Source organism: Homo sapiens, chromosome 3 (assembly GCF_000001405.40).
Source record: "Homo sapiens chromosome 3, GRCh38.p14 Primary Assembly".
Lineage (NCBI taxonomy): Eukaryota > Metazoa > Chordata > Mammalia > Primates > Hominidae > Homo > Homo sapiens.
In genome coordinates this window covers 165,805,718-165,823,599 of record NC_000003.12, presented here as the reverse complement: position 1 = coordinate 165,823,599, position 17,882 = coordinate 165,805,718, and the positions used below count along the sequence as shown (strand labels likewise).

Sequence of the window (17,882 nt, the reverse complement as noted above, 5' to 3'; positions counted from 1 at the left end):
AGCTATCTAGACATCTATTCCTTCTTGATTCAGTAGTGATAGGTTATAGTTTTCAAGGATTATTTTTCCAGTTATTCCATTATCAATTGGCATTCCCCTTTTCTTAACTGTCATAGGTTTGCATTGCCCATTATCCAGTTTCTGAAATTCATTGCCTTGTTTGTTCTGTCCAGTATTATAATTGTTTATGATGAGAAGGCTAATCTCACCTTATCATGGATGAAGGTGAAAGTCCAACACTTTCCTCTCCGTTGGTATTTTAAGGGCATCTTAACATTTATAGATCTCATTCAGTTATATAAAACTCATTTTTCAGTTACTTTATAAATTATCAAAGAGATACAAGATTTTTAAATTTGATTTCTTAATAAAATTAAAGGTTATTTTGAGCTAGCACTAAAGGACATGCAAATTTGATGTCTTTGGTTTCAGTGTTTTAAGATTTCTTACAGAATAGAAGTCATAATATAATTTAGGCCTTTGCTAACTGGAATTGCTACCTATACATATTTTACTTCGTTTTGTTCTTCCTCTAATGCTACCTGTAGAAATGAACTTAAAATTTTACCTAAATAACACACAGGTCTATATGTGCATTATGTCTTTTATATTATAATATATGTGAAAATATCAGTACAACATAATACGTCTACCAATCACCCATCCAAGAAATAACTTGATAGCGAAAAAAATTAAGTCAACCAGAACTTAATGAAATGTTGTCAATACTATCCCAGTGGTACAGAAAATTGGTGAAATTAAACTTGGGTTATGAGAAAGACCAGAGCACTAAAGAAGGAAAATATGCCAAATGTAATTAGTAAGATAGTATAAAATGGAAGTTATCATTATTTCAAAACCCCTCCAGCTTCTTTCTACTCTTGCAGATGATCTTTTCTTTACAATATCCTCCCTTGGTGCTGTATTCATTCAGAGCTTCTTCAGTGTAAAATCTCAGAGAGAACCATTCACAGTGCAGTTACACAGCCTTCCAGATCATGTGTGACAGCCAATGTAATGTTCCCAGTGTCAATCTTTTTACAGATCCTTTGTATATGTAAACTTAGGTAAGCTACTTAAAATTCCCTGATATTTTTTTCTTATCTGTAAAATGGGAATATAAATATAACTCTCTCATTGCCATTAAAACTTGTCATTGACAGAAAATTGTATTCCACTTCTCTATTTAAAAAAGTCAGTTCTTCCTCATGCTCTATTCTCATCTAAGATTAAACTTAGCTTCCACACCAAAAAAAGTACAATTGTTTAATTTCCTGACTCAAAACTACTTAATTAATCAACTAAGCTTTCAAATAAAGGTAAACTTTAATATTGAGGCAATTTACTTGCTTCTATACTTTTTCATTCATTCATTCATTCATAGCCTCTTATTTATTTATCATTTATTTATTCAGAACCTCTCTGAAATGGTTAATATTTTCTAATGCTTTTTTGCCAGGAATAAATGTTCTGACATGTCACTTTTATTTTGTCCTGTTTTGATATCATAAAATCACAAGCTACTTAACAAAGTAATTTGGAAGTAACATCACAGCACACATGCTGCTATTCTCATATCATAATATTTTATTTATTATTTATTCCCTTACACTTTAAGGAAATTTATCACAGAATGAGCAATTTATTAAACTTGAACAAAAATGTATTAATACATTTTTCACCACTGAAGTTAACTGATCTGGAAAAAAGTAAATGAGAACAGTTCTTGATTTTTGTAATGGGGAGTGGGTAAGACAATTACATGCTAAGCCAAATGCTGTTAATACACAAGGTATTTTAAAATGATTGGGACAATTTGAAAATAGATATTCATCTTTTTACTAAATTTTAATTGTAATAATCAGAAATTGCAGATTTGACAGATTCCTAAAGGAATCAATTTTGTTTCTGATTTGAGATACACACACCCACACTGAAGGAAGGGTGGCCATACAGATGGCCATAACGTCATTAAAGTACCTGAAATACACTCAATAATTTGTTCTCTAATGTTTTTAATGTAATTTTAATTTAATATTTAGCATTTAATTTGTATATTTTTATATGACACAGTAAAAAATGGATTGAAATAACAGTATTTTAACATCACTTATTTCCCAAATGGGTATATTTTCTTGGTGCGCTCTCTCTCTCTTTTTTTTTAATTGGAATCATTCCATGTTTTTAAATGACAACAGAAAAACTGGGGAAAGGTCAAAGAAATTATGGATGGAGAAATCGTGCTACTTCATTCTAAATGTCTGTATAGGAATTTAGCATATATTTATACTTATTATATAGTATTTGTGCAAATCCCTTCACCAAGAAATTAATTTCCAAATTATAATTGAATTTACTTTTTGTTATATTTTTCAACTAATAAATATTATAGAACTTTACCACAATACAATTCTTAGAGGTCTCTTCAATATATCAAAATAATATCAGTTAAAGATACTCTTAACATGAACAGTGTACTATCACAATGACAAGGTGTGAGGTATATGCATTCTATTATTAGAATTTTAAAGTGCTGAAATGATGAGACTATCTAACTTTTTTAAGTGAGAAAATTGTGTTCCATAGAAGAAAAGTGAATTGCAACTAACAGGTGACAGAACAATGATTAACTGTGACTCAAGGCTATTAACTTTCATTTCCTTGTATTATACATTCGCCAGGCTGCCTTCACCATGAATTCTTAAAAGCAGTCATTAAGTATGCTTACAAAATGCATTTGGTTGTAAACTTGTAATTTTAAATGTTAGCATGCTTATACCTGCTTGGTTAATGTTATAGAGGTAAGGGCAGAGAACAGACTAAAATTAGACATCATGAGACTTAGAGGCAAGTTTAAGTTTGTGAGACTGTCATCTGGCCATCTAGTCCAATTATTATCAGACTTATAATTAGATTTTCCGACAGATAATAGTTCACGTGGCTTCCAGAGTGAAGAGAAAAATTCTTACCCTCTGATTCTACAATTATTTGTGGTATATTATCATAATTAACCCAATGGAACATTTTCATGACTTTAAAAAAGAATCAGGGCTTAAATCCCCTTGGATTTATTTTATTGTTATCATAACAGCATCAATGTTCTATCACTTTAAATCTTTTTTTCTCCTTAGAAATTAATTTAGGAGTTACTCAGAAAAGAATAAGGCAAAAATGCCAACTGTAGTATTCCTGTAACTTACCTTAATTTTAACAGATAGAATATAAATGTAGGTTTAAAAAAAATGGATACCCATTAGTGTAATGTATTTGAAAAGAAATAATTGTGTTATGAGACAATTTAAAGTGTATATAAGATCACTTTCAGAACCATTTCAGAGTGCAGCAATATTTTTCAATGAATGACAGTGGAATGAGATAGAGAAATCCGATGTCCCCCAAAGGGGCAAATCTACAAAGAGAGCTATAAAACTGAGATATGTTTGATCAAGTATTTCAGAATACTCTCTCGCAGTGCAGCAGAAAAAAACTAATGCACTCAGTATAAAATGGCTCATTAAAACATGGAAAATCTCATTTATAGGATCGATTTACTTGGAAATAACCTGATTTGTTTTCTATGTTTCTGCACATGTTTTTTAGTTGGAAAAAGTATAACATTCAGTCCACTTGTACATATTAAATTCAGTCTAATATTAATAAATCATTTTTTTAGAAATCAAAGTAATAATTTCAGGAATGTACACACAGATGTAATGCTTCAAAAGACCTGTCAGAAATAATAGCTTAAATATTGCAAAGTAACAAAACATAGTAAATAAAATGTGAATTTATATATTTTTCTGTATGGAGTTTTTCTGTTCCACAATCAGATATGACTCAGGCTAATGATTATTTATTGAATTTAGCAAAAACATAAGAACAGAAACACACCTAAAATATTTTTAAAACTACAAACACAGAAGACAAGGTTAACAGCATAAAAGAAAATAGTGGTAGCAGCAAAACAGATAGAGCCTTAAAATAAATAAGTATGTTGATTAAAAACTATTTTGTGGTTAACACTCTTCTCATTGTATAAACCATATAAAAAGTAGTGTCACTTACTGGTAAATGCATTTATGAAGGAATGTACTTCCTAGAAAAGAATTGGAATGATAATTTTTTAAATTATAAACACTTTTAAGAGATGTAATACTATTTATTTTAATTACTTTTAATTCTAAAAATGTTGAAATAATCCCAGTTAGAAGTTAAAAACCTAGGCCAGGCATGGTGGCTCATGCCTGTAATCCCAGCACTTTGGGAGGCCGAAACGGGAGGATCATCCGAGGTCAGGAGTTCGAGATCTGCCTGGCTAATATGGTAAACCCCATCTCTACTAAGAATACAAAAATTAGCTGGGTGTGGTGGTGCACGCTTTTAATCCCAGCAACTCTGGAAGCTAAGGCAGGAGAATCGTTTGAACCCAGGAGGCAGAGAATGCAGTGAGCCAAGATTGTGCCAGTGCACTCCAGCCTGGGCAACAAGAGCAAAACTCTGTCTCAGGAGAAAAAAAAAAAAAAAAGAAGTTAAAAACCTAAACACACAGTACTTAAGAATTAATTTTTTTGTTTATTTTTTCACCTCCAAAGAAAGGCCTTGACTTTTAATTGAATTTCCAACATAGCATGATGCATCAAAAGAGCATGGCATTAGAGGAAAATAGCTTGATTTTGAAGCCATGTTTGCCACATAGTTGCCAAGTTAATTGTTCCCTCTATGTCTCTATTTCTCTTATAAAACCTTCCTCACATGGTTATTGTGAAAACTTGCCCAGTGAATAATACGTATATATGTATTTTATTGTAGATGCAAATAGATCTGGGTATACCTATAGATAAGTCTGTAAGCAACAACTAGATTGGTAATAGGATGGTATTGTTGTTCTTTTCACTAACGTCTCTTCCTCTGCTTCATGATCTTCGTGTTGGTAGTTTCCATTTACTAGATGTTTCAGTAAGATCCAAGCAAGAGTCTAAATATTCCAGATAGACTTTGCATGTAGTCTTTACAACCACTCTGTGTAAAATGCATTAATATCCCTATTTTACAAAGAAAGCTACTGATGATTGGAAAGTTTAGGTCACACAACTAACATTTGTCTTTAATTTTTTAATTTTTAATTTTTGTGGGTTAATTTTTCCACCTGCATGTCTTGATTTAAAAATGATATTTTAAATTATGGTACCTAAAATAATGCTTTAGTAGTCCTAAAATCAGAAAAACAGTAGTTAAATATAAGAATATATTGTTGGCAGAAATATGTCTCATCCTCCTTATGAAGTTACCATTCTCAGTGTACTAGGTAAACTTTATCCAAAATGACATTTTATAATTTCTAATTTCAAAATCTATTTATTTATTTTATAGTTTATATTATATGCTTTGTTTCATATTTTGTAATTATGTATTTATATAAAATGTGAAAAATAAATTTGATCATAACAATTTACCTGTAGCTGTAATTATAAAGCAGTATAAAATTTAATAAAACAAGATGCTTCTGATTCTTCAGCATTCCCTCAGATAGACATTTTTGAATGAAAGTCATGAGATTGTTTCCAAGGTACACTGCTTTTAAAATCACAAGTTATTAAATAATACTTTTCAGTATAAAATAATTATGGTCAGATTGATGAGTTTTAAGAAATTATACCTGCTGCAATTTTCCTTCTTTAGATTGTAAGGCCTTTGAGGGTAAAGATTTTCTCTCTGTTCTCCATGCCTCACTGTTTTTTATTTGCTTTGTTATCTTTGCCTATTTATGTTGTGTTTACTGCTGCATCCCTATTACCTCAATAATGCTTGATGCATGTGAGCTTTCAAATATATTTGTGTGTTATCATGGTGAGAGTTCTGGAAAAACTATAAAACACAGAAGCATAGAGCAAGATGCAGATAGAATGTGTTATCATTTGTAAGGCGGTCACGTAAAGCTTCTGACAAAGTTCTATTAAAATAGAGGGACAGAGTAAATCATGTGAATATCTGGGGAAAAATTTTCCCAGAAGAGAGAACAACCTCTAAGACTAAAGTATTTGGGATGTTGCAGGAACAGCAAGAAAGATAGTGCGGCTGGAATAGGTATGTGAAGGGGAAGTGATAAGAGGTAAGGTCAGAGAAGTACAAAGAGCCAAGATATATGATTTGAAGCTTGGATGAGTTTCTGAAATCTTTCCTGAGTGAGACATTTAGTTATGAAATATTCAGGAATTTGAGTAGCATATTTTGGCTCAAACATTATAAAGAAATCTCTGACTGGTAGGTACACAAGCATGAAGTGTACAGAAGAACTAGGAGGTTATTACAGCAATCCAGTTGAGAAATGATCATAGATTAGGTAAAAGTGGGAAAAAATGATCAGAATCAGGTTATACTTTGAAGGAAGGTCTGACAATATTTGCTGAGATATTGGATGTGGAATATAAGAGAATAAATTGGGACAAGGATACTACACTGCAAAATTTTTTATTTGAGCCACCAGAAGAGTAGAGGTAACATTTCCTGAGATATTAACAACTATTGGAGGATATGGTTGGGAGAGTGAAATCAAAAGTTCTATTTCAGACATTTCAAGTTTAAGGGACCTGTTTTTCCAGAAATATTTAAATTAAATTGTTTAATTCATATTTAAATTTTTATTGTGCCAAGACATCTGAAATTCAAGGGAGAAAAAGGGGCTATAAATTTGGTATCTAAAAGTATGAAGATGGTGTTTAAAGCTATGAGACAGGTTTATTTCACTTACGGAGGTTTTAGATAAAACACATGTCTAAGCACCTCAAGGTTAGAGGGAGGGAGGAGGAAGAAAAAACTGTAGAGAGAGAATGGAGTAGCCAAATGAATTGGAGGGCAACTAGGAGAACATGGTATCCACTCAAGACTAAATAAAGAGAATATTTCAGGAAAGGAGTATCCGTATAGAATATAGAATGAGTACAAAGAAAATTATGTGAAATTGTGTATGATTGTGGGTTTGGAAATGTGGACATATTGGTAGCAAAGATGTGGTGTTTTGATGGGATGGTGGGAACTAAAACCTTAATAGAGATGCAAAAGAGAATGAGAGGAGAGGAATCAGTAATTGCAATTTGAGGCAACTCTTTCAAAGAGCATTACTCTAAAGTGGATCAGGGAAGTCAACTCAGGGGATGGCTGGACAAGAGAGGGTAGAGGTGTTTTCGATTGGCCTTGCTTTTTCATGGGGAATATTGCAACATGATTGTGAACTGATGGGAATGGTACAGTGATTATAATGATTAATCTGGTTTTGTGTAATCATCAACTCTATCTACTTAATTTTATTTACTTTCCTTATAGAAAACTATCCTCATAAATACAATGCAAACCACTTGGTTAGAACTTAGGTCATCAGTAATTAAGACTATGTGGATCTAAAATAAAAGGAATCAAGAGACAGGTAGCAAAGAGAAAAACAGACAACATCCTAGATATTCTGAACATCAAAAAAGTATGACAAATGTTTCTTTGATATGTATTCCATAGAAAAGGTCATATTGAAACCTATTGACTTGTACTGTGCCCTAAATTTTAAGAGAATTACTCATTGATTTTTTTTTGATGAAAGACAAATCAGAAACAACAATTTTCTAAGAAGGCATAGGCAGAAGGCAAGTAACCTTACAATAGAACTGAGAGGTCACAGTCTAATTGCATGACAAGAAAGCGGGGGAAAATAACTTCTCATAAGCAACCTGGTATAAGTAGTGACAAAATATTGACCCTAGACCACAAAACATGTACGTGCTGCTCTCTGTGTGTCCTTGAACATTCATAGAAGTATTATGTAATGTCTAATAGAAAATTAATCTGTTAAAATATAATGAATATGTAGTAATAAAAATACTTGTCCTTAAAGAATATACTTCTTATGTAATATGTAAAGAATAATAATAATTTAGCCTATTGTATAGTCAGGATATTCTAAAGAAAGTACTGACCAGGTAGCCTTTGGAGTCATAATTTTAAATCTATAATATTAAAAATTACATCAATTAAATTTATTATTGCTAACATTTGCTAGCTATTGCTAACATTTGCTAGCTCCCTGCTCAGGACTTCACTTTCATGGTTGTAGCAATTCTCTAAAGAAGTATCATCATCCTCAACAGGTGTTGATAAGGATATTGAGGCTTACAGAGCTGAAGCTACTCAAAATTCCACAGCTATCAGTGAAAACCGGAACTCCAAATTGAACTTTGTGGTGTGATGGAGGAACCCAGATCCATCTTCCCTAAACTTTGCTCCCTCTCTATTAGAATTTTTGCGTACCACTAGGGAAGGAAAAGAGCAAGAATTCAATCTCCTTTGCCCTTATTTTTTTTTTTTTTTCTAAAATCAAAGTGTTAATACCTATCTCCTTGGCTGTTATGGAAATTTGAGAAACTATATGTAATATGCCTGACATTATTCCAGATACATACTGTAAGTAATATTGCCAGATAAAATACAGGACATTCAGTTAAATGTGAAAAATAAGCTAAACCAGGAATATATATATGTAATATACATTGTTTTAAATATATAAGTATGATACTAATACTAACATATATTGGTATGAATATAATACTAATACTAATATTTAATTATAAATATTTACTAACACTAATATTATAGATATAAAATTTATAATTAAATATTAGTATAAGTTAAAAATTAGTATAAATATAATACTAATTCTAACATATATTAGTATAAATATGACCCATACGTCTGATGGGACATAATTATACTAAACATTATTTGTATTTTAGTTGGAATTCACATTTAACTGGGTGTTTTGCTTTGTTTTCACTAAATCTGGTAAACCTAACTGCAAGTTAGGGACTAAAGAGACTAGGAAGTAGCCCCAAGGAACAAAATTTTGACAAAAGCTGAAAAGTATGTCAGACATAAGTTTAGAGAAGTTCAGCAAAGGGCCCAGGAGTTGGTAGGCAGAAAAGAAATCAGGCCAGCAAGTGTTGGAAAATGGGGACTCTAGGGACAAGCTGCATTTCTAAGATTTGGCTGAATTCCTGAAGATTGGCCCTTGGCTAGGCAGGGCTCAGCATGCACGTTTCAGGTTTCCAGTAAGTATTAGTGAGCTGAGGAAAGTAAGGATTAACATCATAAGAGCAAAAACTAAACTATTAACATTATGATTAAAATAAACTTGCCTTCTCCTTTAACCTGAATCTCTAAAGCTATAACTATGTATTTGCATTTATTTTATTGCTTTGGATTTTTCTTTCATTTTATCTTCTTAAAAAAATGGTAACATCTGGAGAATAAATATTTCAAAGAAGGTAGTCATAAAAATTTTGAATCATATTAATGAACCCTGAAATAGAGAATGAGAGGAGAATAACATAAACCAGAAAATGTGTTATTTGTAAAACCTTAAACTAATTCTATTTACAGCACTAGACTGCAATCTCAGATTTCATGTGCAAATTATTTATTACTAAATTTACTAACAATAATCTTATATACTTAGTATACAATTAATTCAGATATCGTAATATGAGGGATACTACCTATATTTATTATAATGAAATCATTGTGGAAGTCAAAGAAACCTAACACTTACGAAAAATTACTGTATTTCTGGGATGTACAAATCCTAATCTTGCTTTCTCCATCAACTTTGGCGTCAGATATTCTGTTAGTTACTCAGACTTACATTAGAGTATATGTAAATTAAGACTTTTTTTAAATCTCTACCTTAAATTATAGGTGATAGCTGAACTGGTTGTTTTTTATCTTTCTTAATTTAATTACATTATTTATCTTCCTTTAGTACAATGCAGACCATTTATATATAAAGAATAAATAATATTAGAGTCAGATAAATGATTATCTACTAAATATAAAATTAAACCTTTATAATTGTCCTTTGTTATCCTTGAAATTTCTGCAGAAAATATGCTTTTAACTCATACGTTTATTTTTATTGTGTTTCAACATTTTTTCCTTCTTTTCTGGACTAGAAAAGATTTTGAAGTAAAGGAATCGAAATGATAAGTTCAATCACAGTTGTAACACAGTATGCTTGTAATAAACTTTTCAATGAGATTTCAAAAAGAATAAATATTATTTTGTAAATAGCATTGACTTTACAAAATATTGGTAAACCAGAGGTTTGAACCTACTTTAGATATAGACACATAATCAAATATCTACAAATGGAAAAGAATAAGATGATGAAAATGCAATATTTAGTAATTTTAGAACGAGATATTATTCATTTAATAAGGAAGAAAATATGAGTATAAAATATATGATTATTATAAAATAGTAAACCTAATGATTTGATTACTTAATACCTAAGCATAATATAAAAATTCATTCAGCAATAGAGAGATTTCAACTACATATTAAATTATCTTGTAAATTTTATTGGTAAGTAGTCTTATTTAATAGTATGATTCAGAGCACTGTTTATTATAATTTTGCAACTTCTCTTGCTAAATCCACAGTAGTCTCTAATTTTATGATATTTTTTCTGGTAAAAAAGTTTTAAACAATTATCCTGATAGGAAAAAAAAGGACTCTCATGGAATGCTTCAAACCAAAAGTAATGATGATAGAGTAATTAGAAAAATGTAAAAATCCTATTGCATTATGAAGGATATTGAACATTTATAGTAGCTTTCAATGAGGACACAGAGAAAGAGGTATAGAAAAAAATTCTGGAAGAACTAATGCTGGTGTAAACTGCTATGGACCCCAGTCCTTTAATGACCAGACTATACTTTCATATCTGAGGGGGCATTTAAGGAAGCACCTCTCCAATACTCACACACGATTAGAGTATATGCATATTCACTGTATTATGCTTTCTTTGAGAGAATATTGAAGCCTTTTTCATTATGAGAAACTACCACATTAAAATACAGCCCAAGTAAATAACAATTATGCCACTGGCAATGAAAAACAACATGGAAATTTTTATGTAAAATATTTAATTCTTTTTTTTATTTTTCTATTGTTCTACAGTAGTTGAGTTCTAAATACAAACAAGAGATAAATTTTCAAATGAAATAAAGATGTGATTATACAGAAAATTGTAAATGCCCATGCTAAATCCAGTTTAAGCATGGAACACTCCATTTGTTTGAAAGTATACTAAAATCATTTTATTGTTTCCCTATGTGTAACATGCAAAATAAATGGTTAGATTATCATGCCAATAAGAATAGATAATGTCTAAAATTATATATAGAGTAAAAATGTTGATAAATACTTGATAAACTGTGTGATAAAGATTTGATAAAATACATGATAAACGTAGTGGGACCTCAAAAAAAAAAATCAAAGACTCATGAGATCCATTTTTTTTTCCATTGATAGATTGATGTCTAAGAAATAGTTGGATAAGGATATTAATAGTATTTTTAGTACTTCCAAACTGTTCAGCTACTGATAAAATTGTATATCTTAGAGTTGGTACTAAAATATTGAGAATGCAAAAACATTTATGTATATAAACTTGTTTATTCCTGATGTAATTCAGGTGGTCCTCCGTCTGTTCTTGAAGGTCAGTATTCACAGTCTTTAGTATACAGCCTTCAGATACTTTGAGCTTGAACTAATCTACACTAAAAGGAATCTCTGGAGATTGAAAGATGAGACGGACAGAAAGGAACAAAAGGAGTAAAAATAGTCAAAAGGCTAGATATGCTTTGAAATGGGCTTCTGTATCCAAGTCTTTCTGACACCAAAGCCCATTTCTTTTTACTAGACCACCTAGCTACCTTGTCACTCTAAATTTACTGTTTTGATTATTATTTCTTAATCCTCACTGGGCTCAGTACTTATTATTAATAATATTTCTGTGTTTAGGCTCTAACTCTATGCATTAGGAAGGTAAAACTATGGTTATCTGTGTACACTATCATCTTGCTCAGGAAATATTATTCTAAATTATTATATTGTTTTATTTGAAATTTATAAATTAAAAATGTAATACTGAGAACAGAATTCCAAAAATAGAATTTTCTAAGAGCAAATCAATTTTTGTCAGTTCAGTGTTTTTTGGTAGACACAGAGAATTCAGTTATTCCTAGAGCATTACCATTGTCTGTTCATGCAAAACCTCCCTTATGTTTAAAATAATTTTATTATTTTTTCATTTATCACACATTCTTTCATTCCACACACACACTTACACTGCTCTCTTAGGCACATCTACATACAACTTGTTATCCATCCATGAATATGTAGGTAAGGATGTTTTCACTTTTTTATCAGCCTGGTTTCCTTAGGTATCAAATGTAAATTCAGATAGAAGAAGCCTTAAACATGCACCTGCATATGTAGAGATCATTTCTAAATTTAACCTTTCTGTCAAGAGTCTAACTGCCTACAAAATGGAGCGGTCTAATCCTCAATTTTAAATTCACCTATAATTTTACTTTTTCACTTCTGAGCAAGATAGTTTCGATTCTTGGGTGTTTATATTCTACTAATTAAAATATAACATTGCTGCTATTTTCATGACTGATTTTTTAAAATAAAGATTTCTTGCGTCTTAAATATCAATTAGGTAATGCAGCTCTACTTGTATCGTCACTGTGCAATAAATTTCAGTCAATTTAACGTATAACTCCAATAAGATGTAGAAGAAAAAGGATACTTCACTCCACTACGTATTTTAGTTAGAGTTGTTATATATTAATCTTGAGCCAAACCTCTGTTCTTAGAAAAGTTCCCCATCAGTTTTATCAGCTGGATATGTCATGGTGTGTCCTTTGAGATGAAAGCACCACACCAGTTCTTCATTTAACAGTATACTAAAGACCAAAATATTTTGAAAGAAAATGAAAGAGTAACAGCAAGCTTACCTCAAACACTGCTAAGGAAGCCAATGTTGAAAAACTTACCATTCATTTCAAATGGAGGAACTTAATTCTCCAGATAGCCCCAAAACAGAGCTAACGAACACAATGCATCCCCACTCCCAGCAGCACGTCGACTAGTGGTGTTTGTTTTCATATTTCCTATCATGTTTGTCATGCCTTTAGTAGATGATTTGGCTGGCACAATATCCTAGCCTAGCCTCAGTGTAGAAATCTGGCAATAAAATAACACATCCAAAGATAAAATAAGAACCAATGTTAAGTGATGAATCCATGCAAAGTACTCAGTGAATCTCTTAAAATACGCCTATCTGCACACACAGGAAGGAAATGGATGTGCTGGGAATCTGCATTCTTCTGGAACACCATATGTAATGTCTATTGAGATATTTTGAGTGGGCATAATCTTCCTAGGAGGGATAATATGGAAAACTTTCACAGACACTTTCTGTGAACTAGAATCTGCTGCTAGAATATCACAACTTGAACAGAAGAATATCCTTACCTCACACTGGGTGTAACTGAAGATAACTAACACTTGTTATCAGATATTTATGTTTAAAAACTCAGTAAGCAAAAGATAGCCTATCTGAAACATACTACTTTGTCTACAAAATAAATCTCAACTCTGTAACTGATGTTAAAGAATTATTTCAATCTGTCTGTCACTTAGTAAGCATGACTAAGAATAGTAATTTTAATAGTAACTTATGCTATCAATAATAATAAACATATAAAAGTTTCCTAGGAATGTGTAAAATTCTACTGACCCCTGTAAAATACTAACGAAAGAGTGGAAATAGGAGCATTTTCCCATAAGCTGTGATAAAATAATTCTTAGTATGATAATACTTTTTAAAAAGTTGACAGTTGAAGAAATTTAACTAAGACAATGATGTACTAGACATCCTTAAAGTGAGCTGCTGCTATTACTGTAAGTTTAATCATTATAAAAGCCATGACACTTCTCTTAGAGGATTTGTGTACATTATCATTGGGGAGTACTATATTATGATAGTAAGCTACCCTTGTGTTATGAAAATGCATGGAAATTTGGGTGAATTATTAGAGTAAAATATACCTCACAAACATTTGCCTTAATACAATTTGCCTTAATACATTTGCCTTAATACAAATGATAAATTTGTGCAATGGATCTAAAAAGTTATACATGTAGGATTATATAGACATATACATAGTGAGAAATAACATTTTAATGCACATTGCATATACAAAATTTAAAATCTGCTCATTCATCCTAAATGTTTAGTGCATAATAAAAACATTAAAAGTATACAATAAGTAAGTTTTACTCAGAATGCCATACAAAAAAAACACATGAACATTCAAATTTGGCAATAGTGTAATGCTTTCACAAAAGCTGAAAACTCTCATACATGTTTAAAATTTAAACCACATGGAAGTTGGGTTTAGCTATGGTTTTATACTTGGATTTAAATACGTTTGCTTATATTGGCTTAATGTTGTCCATCCAATCCCTCAAGAGGACCACATAAAATACAAATTAACATTTTTGCGATATAGAAACATGAAAGTCCATAACGGTTTTTTTCTTCCATAAGCTAAATACCAAATAACATTATGATATCCATTAAAAAATTTAATAATATTTTGAGAAATACATATGGATCATTTACTTTTTAAATAAAGTAAGCATAGTCATTGGCTTTCTTACTTTTTAAACTTAATATAATATATAAAGTCAAAAGGGATAAAAACTGTAAGTACATTACTCCATAATTGATAGTTTCCTTTTTTCTTATGTTTTACTTTCTTAACTTATCCAGAGAGAAAATTATATTTAGCATTTTTCTGCAGTATATGCCCGTGTTTTGTAGATATGAATGGCTCTTTAGAAGTACATTTATAGCAACCTAGATGTGATTCAAAATTAGTCTTTTTGGTTGTCAGAAATAAAGTAACCACAGTATAGTCACAGCCTTTTTTTTGAAAAGACAGGATCTTGCTCTGTCTCCCAGGCTGGGGTGCAGTGGTGCAATCATGGCTCTCACTTCAGCCTCAACCACCCAGAGCTCAAACAATCCTCTCAAAGTGCTGAGATTACAGGAATGAGCCACCTCACCCGATCTATAGTCATAGCGTTTCAAATTAAATATTTATTTATCATGTTTATAAAAAACCAAATTGGTATTCAAGTAAAATACATTTTTAATCTTACAACATCATAGATTATGTAGCATTTGTTCATAAAAGTGACTAAAGTATTACAAATTAAACATATCAACAGCTACTAAAAGGAATATATGACTTTCTCATTATTTTCATATGGTACAGGTATCTGGTATGCAAAAATTAGGTATGTATTTGACATATTAAAATAAATCTTGAAATCTATTTTCCATCAGCATATATAAATTAATGACTAGAATCTGTCACTGTTTTTCAATAGCTGGAGTTGGAACACTTAACATTATTTACAACAAGCAATATCGCGCCTGTAATCCCAGCACTTTGAGAGGCAGAAGCGGGCTGATCACGAGGTCAGGAAATCGAGACCATCCTGACTAACACGGTGAAACCTCGTCTCTACTAAAAAAATACCAAAAATTAGCCAGGCGTGGTGGCAGGCACCTGTAGTCCCAGCTACTCGGGAGGCTGAGACAGGAGAATGGCGTGAACTCTTGAGGCGGAGTTTGCAGTGAGCTGAGATCGCGCCACTGCACTGCAGCCTGGGCGACAGAGCGAGACTCTGTCTCAAACAACAACAACAACTACAAAAAAAAACAAGCAACAATATACCAGGTTGTCAGTTTCCATTAAAGGAAATTCAAATCAACAAATGTTAAGCATACAATTTTCACTATGAGTAAATAATTTTTGCATTAAAATACATCAGCCAGGTGTAGTGGCTCATGCCTGTAATCTCAACATTATGGGAGGATCAGTTCGGTGGGCCACTTGAGGTCAGGAGTTCAACACCAGCTTGGCCAACATAGTGAGACCCTGTCTCTACTAAAAATATTGTACAAAAAAAAAATTGCCAAGTGTGGTGGCATGTGCCTGTAGTCCCAGGTACTCTGGAGGCTGAGGCAAGGTAATTACTTGAACCTGGGAGGCGGAGGTTGCAGTGATGAGCCAAGATCATGCCACTGCACTCCAGCCTGGGTGACAGAATAAGACTCTGTCTGAAAAATAAATAAATAAATAAAAATAAATAAATAAATAAATAAATAAATAAATCTCATAATAACATTTCTTTATCTTTATCTCAATCATTATTAAATAAATATCTGAGTGTACTATGCCGCTGATGGTAACTGGTTGTTGAAAACAACTATGTTTTAGGTATATTAAAGTATTATTGTATTCTAAATAGGGAGAACTTTATATTTCCTAAGGAAATTTATTAGACAAATAAGGTTCTAGAAAATATGACTTGATTTTAAAAATGGCCTTTATCATGAGAGATCGCAGAAAAAATAAAAATCATATTATGTCAGAAAGGTAGACAAACATTATAATTCAATTATAATTTACCTCAATCTTCAAGGTTTTTGCAATGAACTTATAAAAAATACCAGTGTGAAAAATTTAAATGAATTAACATGAAGAACTCAGTGAAACATTTTCTTCAGTTTTGTAATATTTTAGCTCTAAAATTAAAAAGGAAATGAAAATTAGATACCATTTACATTTCCTACTCCGCTCCACCAACCCCCCAAAAAAGTAATAATTTCTTAAGGAAAATATGATCGATCATAGTTGTTTTAAAGTTAGAGATTTTGATTGTATTTATTTAACATAACCTCCTAAAGACACGGTGTCATGATTTATAATTGTTTCTATAAGATTATAGTGTTCTGGTCATGCTGTTTTCTTTCTCTAATTTAATAACTGAGTTTTGCATAATCATTCAATACTGTCATAAAGAGAACCAAATATGGCCATTAAACAATTAGAATAATACTTCATTTATGATTTGGCTATTATTTAGGCAGATTTAAAAAACTATATAATTATTATTATAAAGATGTGTTTACACCATTATTTGTGTATCTGATTCTAATCCCTTTTGGTTTTATCCAACATTATGAATGTAAATGATGATCATAAAATATCTGATATTTTATATTAAATGTTACCTCACATCTGTATGATTTACTATAATCACTTCACAAATATTTATTGAGCACCAACTGTGAGCCAGGCACTGGGCTAGGTGCTATGGAGTCAGTATGAATATATCGTAGAGTAAAATGCAGGCCTACCATCACTGAGGTTACCACTTACCGCTGGCAGATAACAGCAAATAAGCAATTTACCAAACCACATAATGAGAACTATACTATGATTAACTACAGGCTTGGGAAATACAACATAGGAGAAACTCAGTCCAGTCTTAGAAGCTTATAGAAACCTTTCTTAAAGAAATAAAAAGTTTTGGGGTAAGATGAAACAGTACAGGCAAAGACCGAGAGGTGATAGAGAAAGAGAAAGTAAAAAGGCAGGTGTGAGGAGACATGAATCTGGGGAGTTATGAAGAAACCAGACTGTACATTTGTAAACCAAGCTTGTTTTAGATTACGTGCCAAGAGCACCATGTGAAAACTTTTTTTTTTAATGTGAGGGGAGAATGCTATCAAATTTGAATTTTAGAAAAATCATTTTGTGTGCAGAAGAGAGAATGGCATAGAAGAGAGTAAGAAAGCTGACAGGGAGAATGAGAGGAGACACATGGTCGTGTTCCAGGGCAGCAATACAAATGGTCTACACTGGGGAGTAACTTTGGGAATGAAAAGACAAGCCAGAGGATGGATTTCAGATGTCCAGAGAATATTATCTATGAGCTCTGGTAATCAGGTAGATATGGAGAGTGTGTGAGAAGAAAGGAAAATCAATGAATGTTATTCAGTTTTCTTACTTAGCAATATCCAGGGCCATTTCATGAGTTAAGAACGTATGTCGGACTGAAAATTAAAGTAAGAAGAAGTGTTTTAAAAATTAGAAAAAGAAATGTGTCATTTCTAAAGGCAAAGAAAG

General features: G+C 31.5%; 1 protein-coding gene across 3 annotated transcripts in view, besides 1 other annotated feature; it reads left to right on the top strand.

Moving 5' to 3' along the window:
* Positions 1-17,882, top strand: part of BCHE (butyrylcholinesterase) — a 64,520-nt gene that overhangs the window by 13,824 nt on the left and 32,814 nt on the right. The window lies entirely within an intron of this gene.
* Positions 17,259-17,308: an enhancer, noted in NCBI's record as "active region_20770". NCBI's record gives its function as "activates an Ori minimal core promoter by ATAC-STARR-seq in GM12878 lymphoblastoid cells {active_cell/tissue: GM12878}" and the evidence as "EXISTENCE:reporter gene assay evidence [ECO:0000049][PMID:35858748]".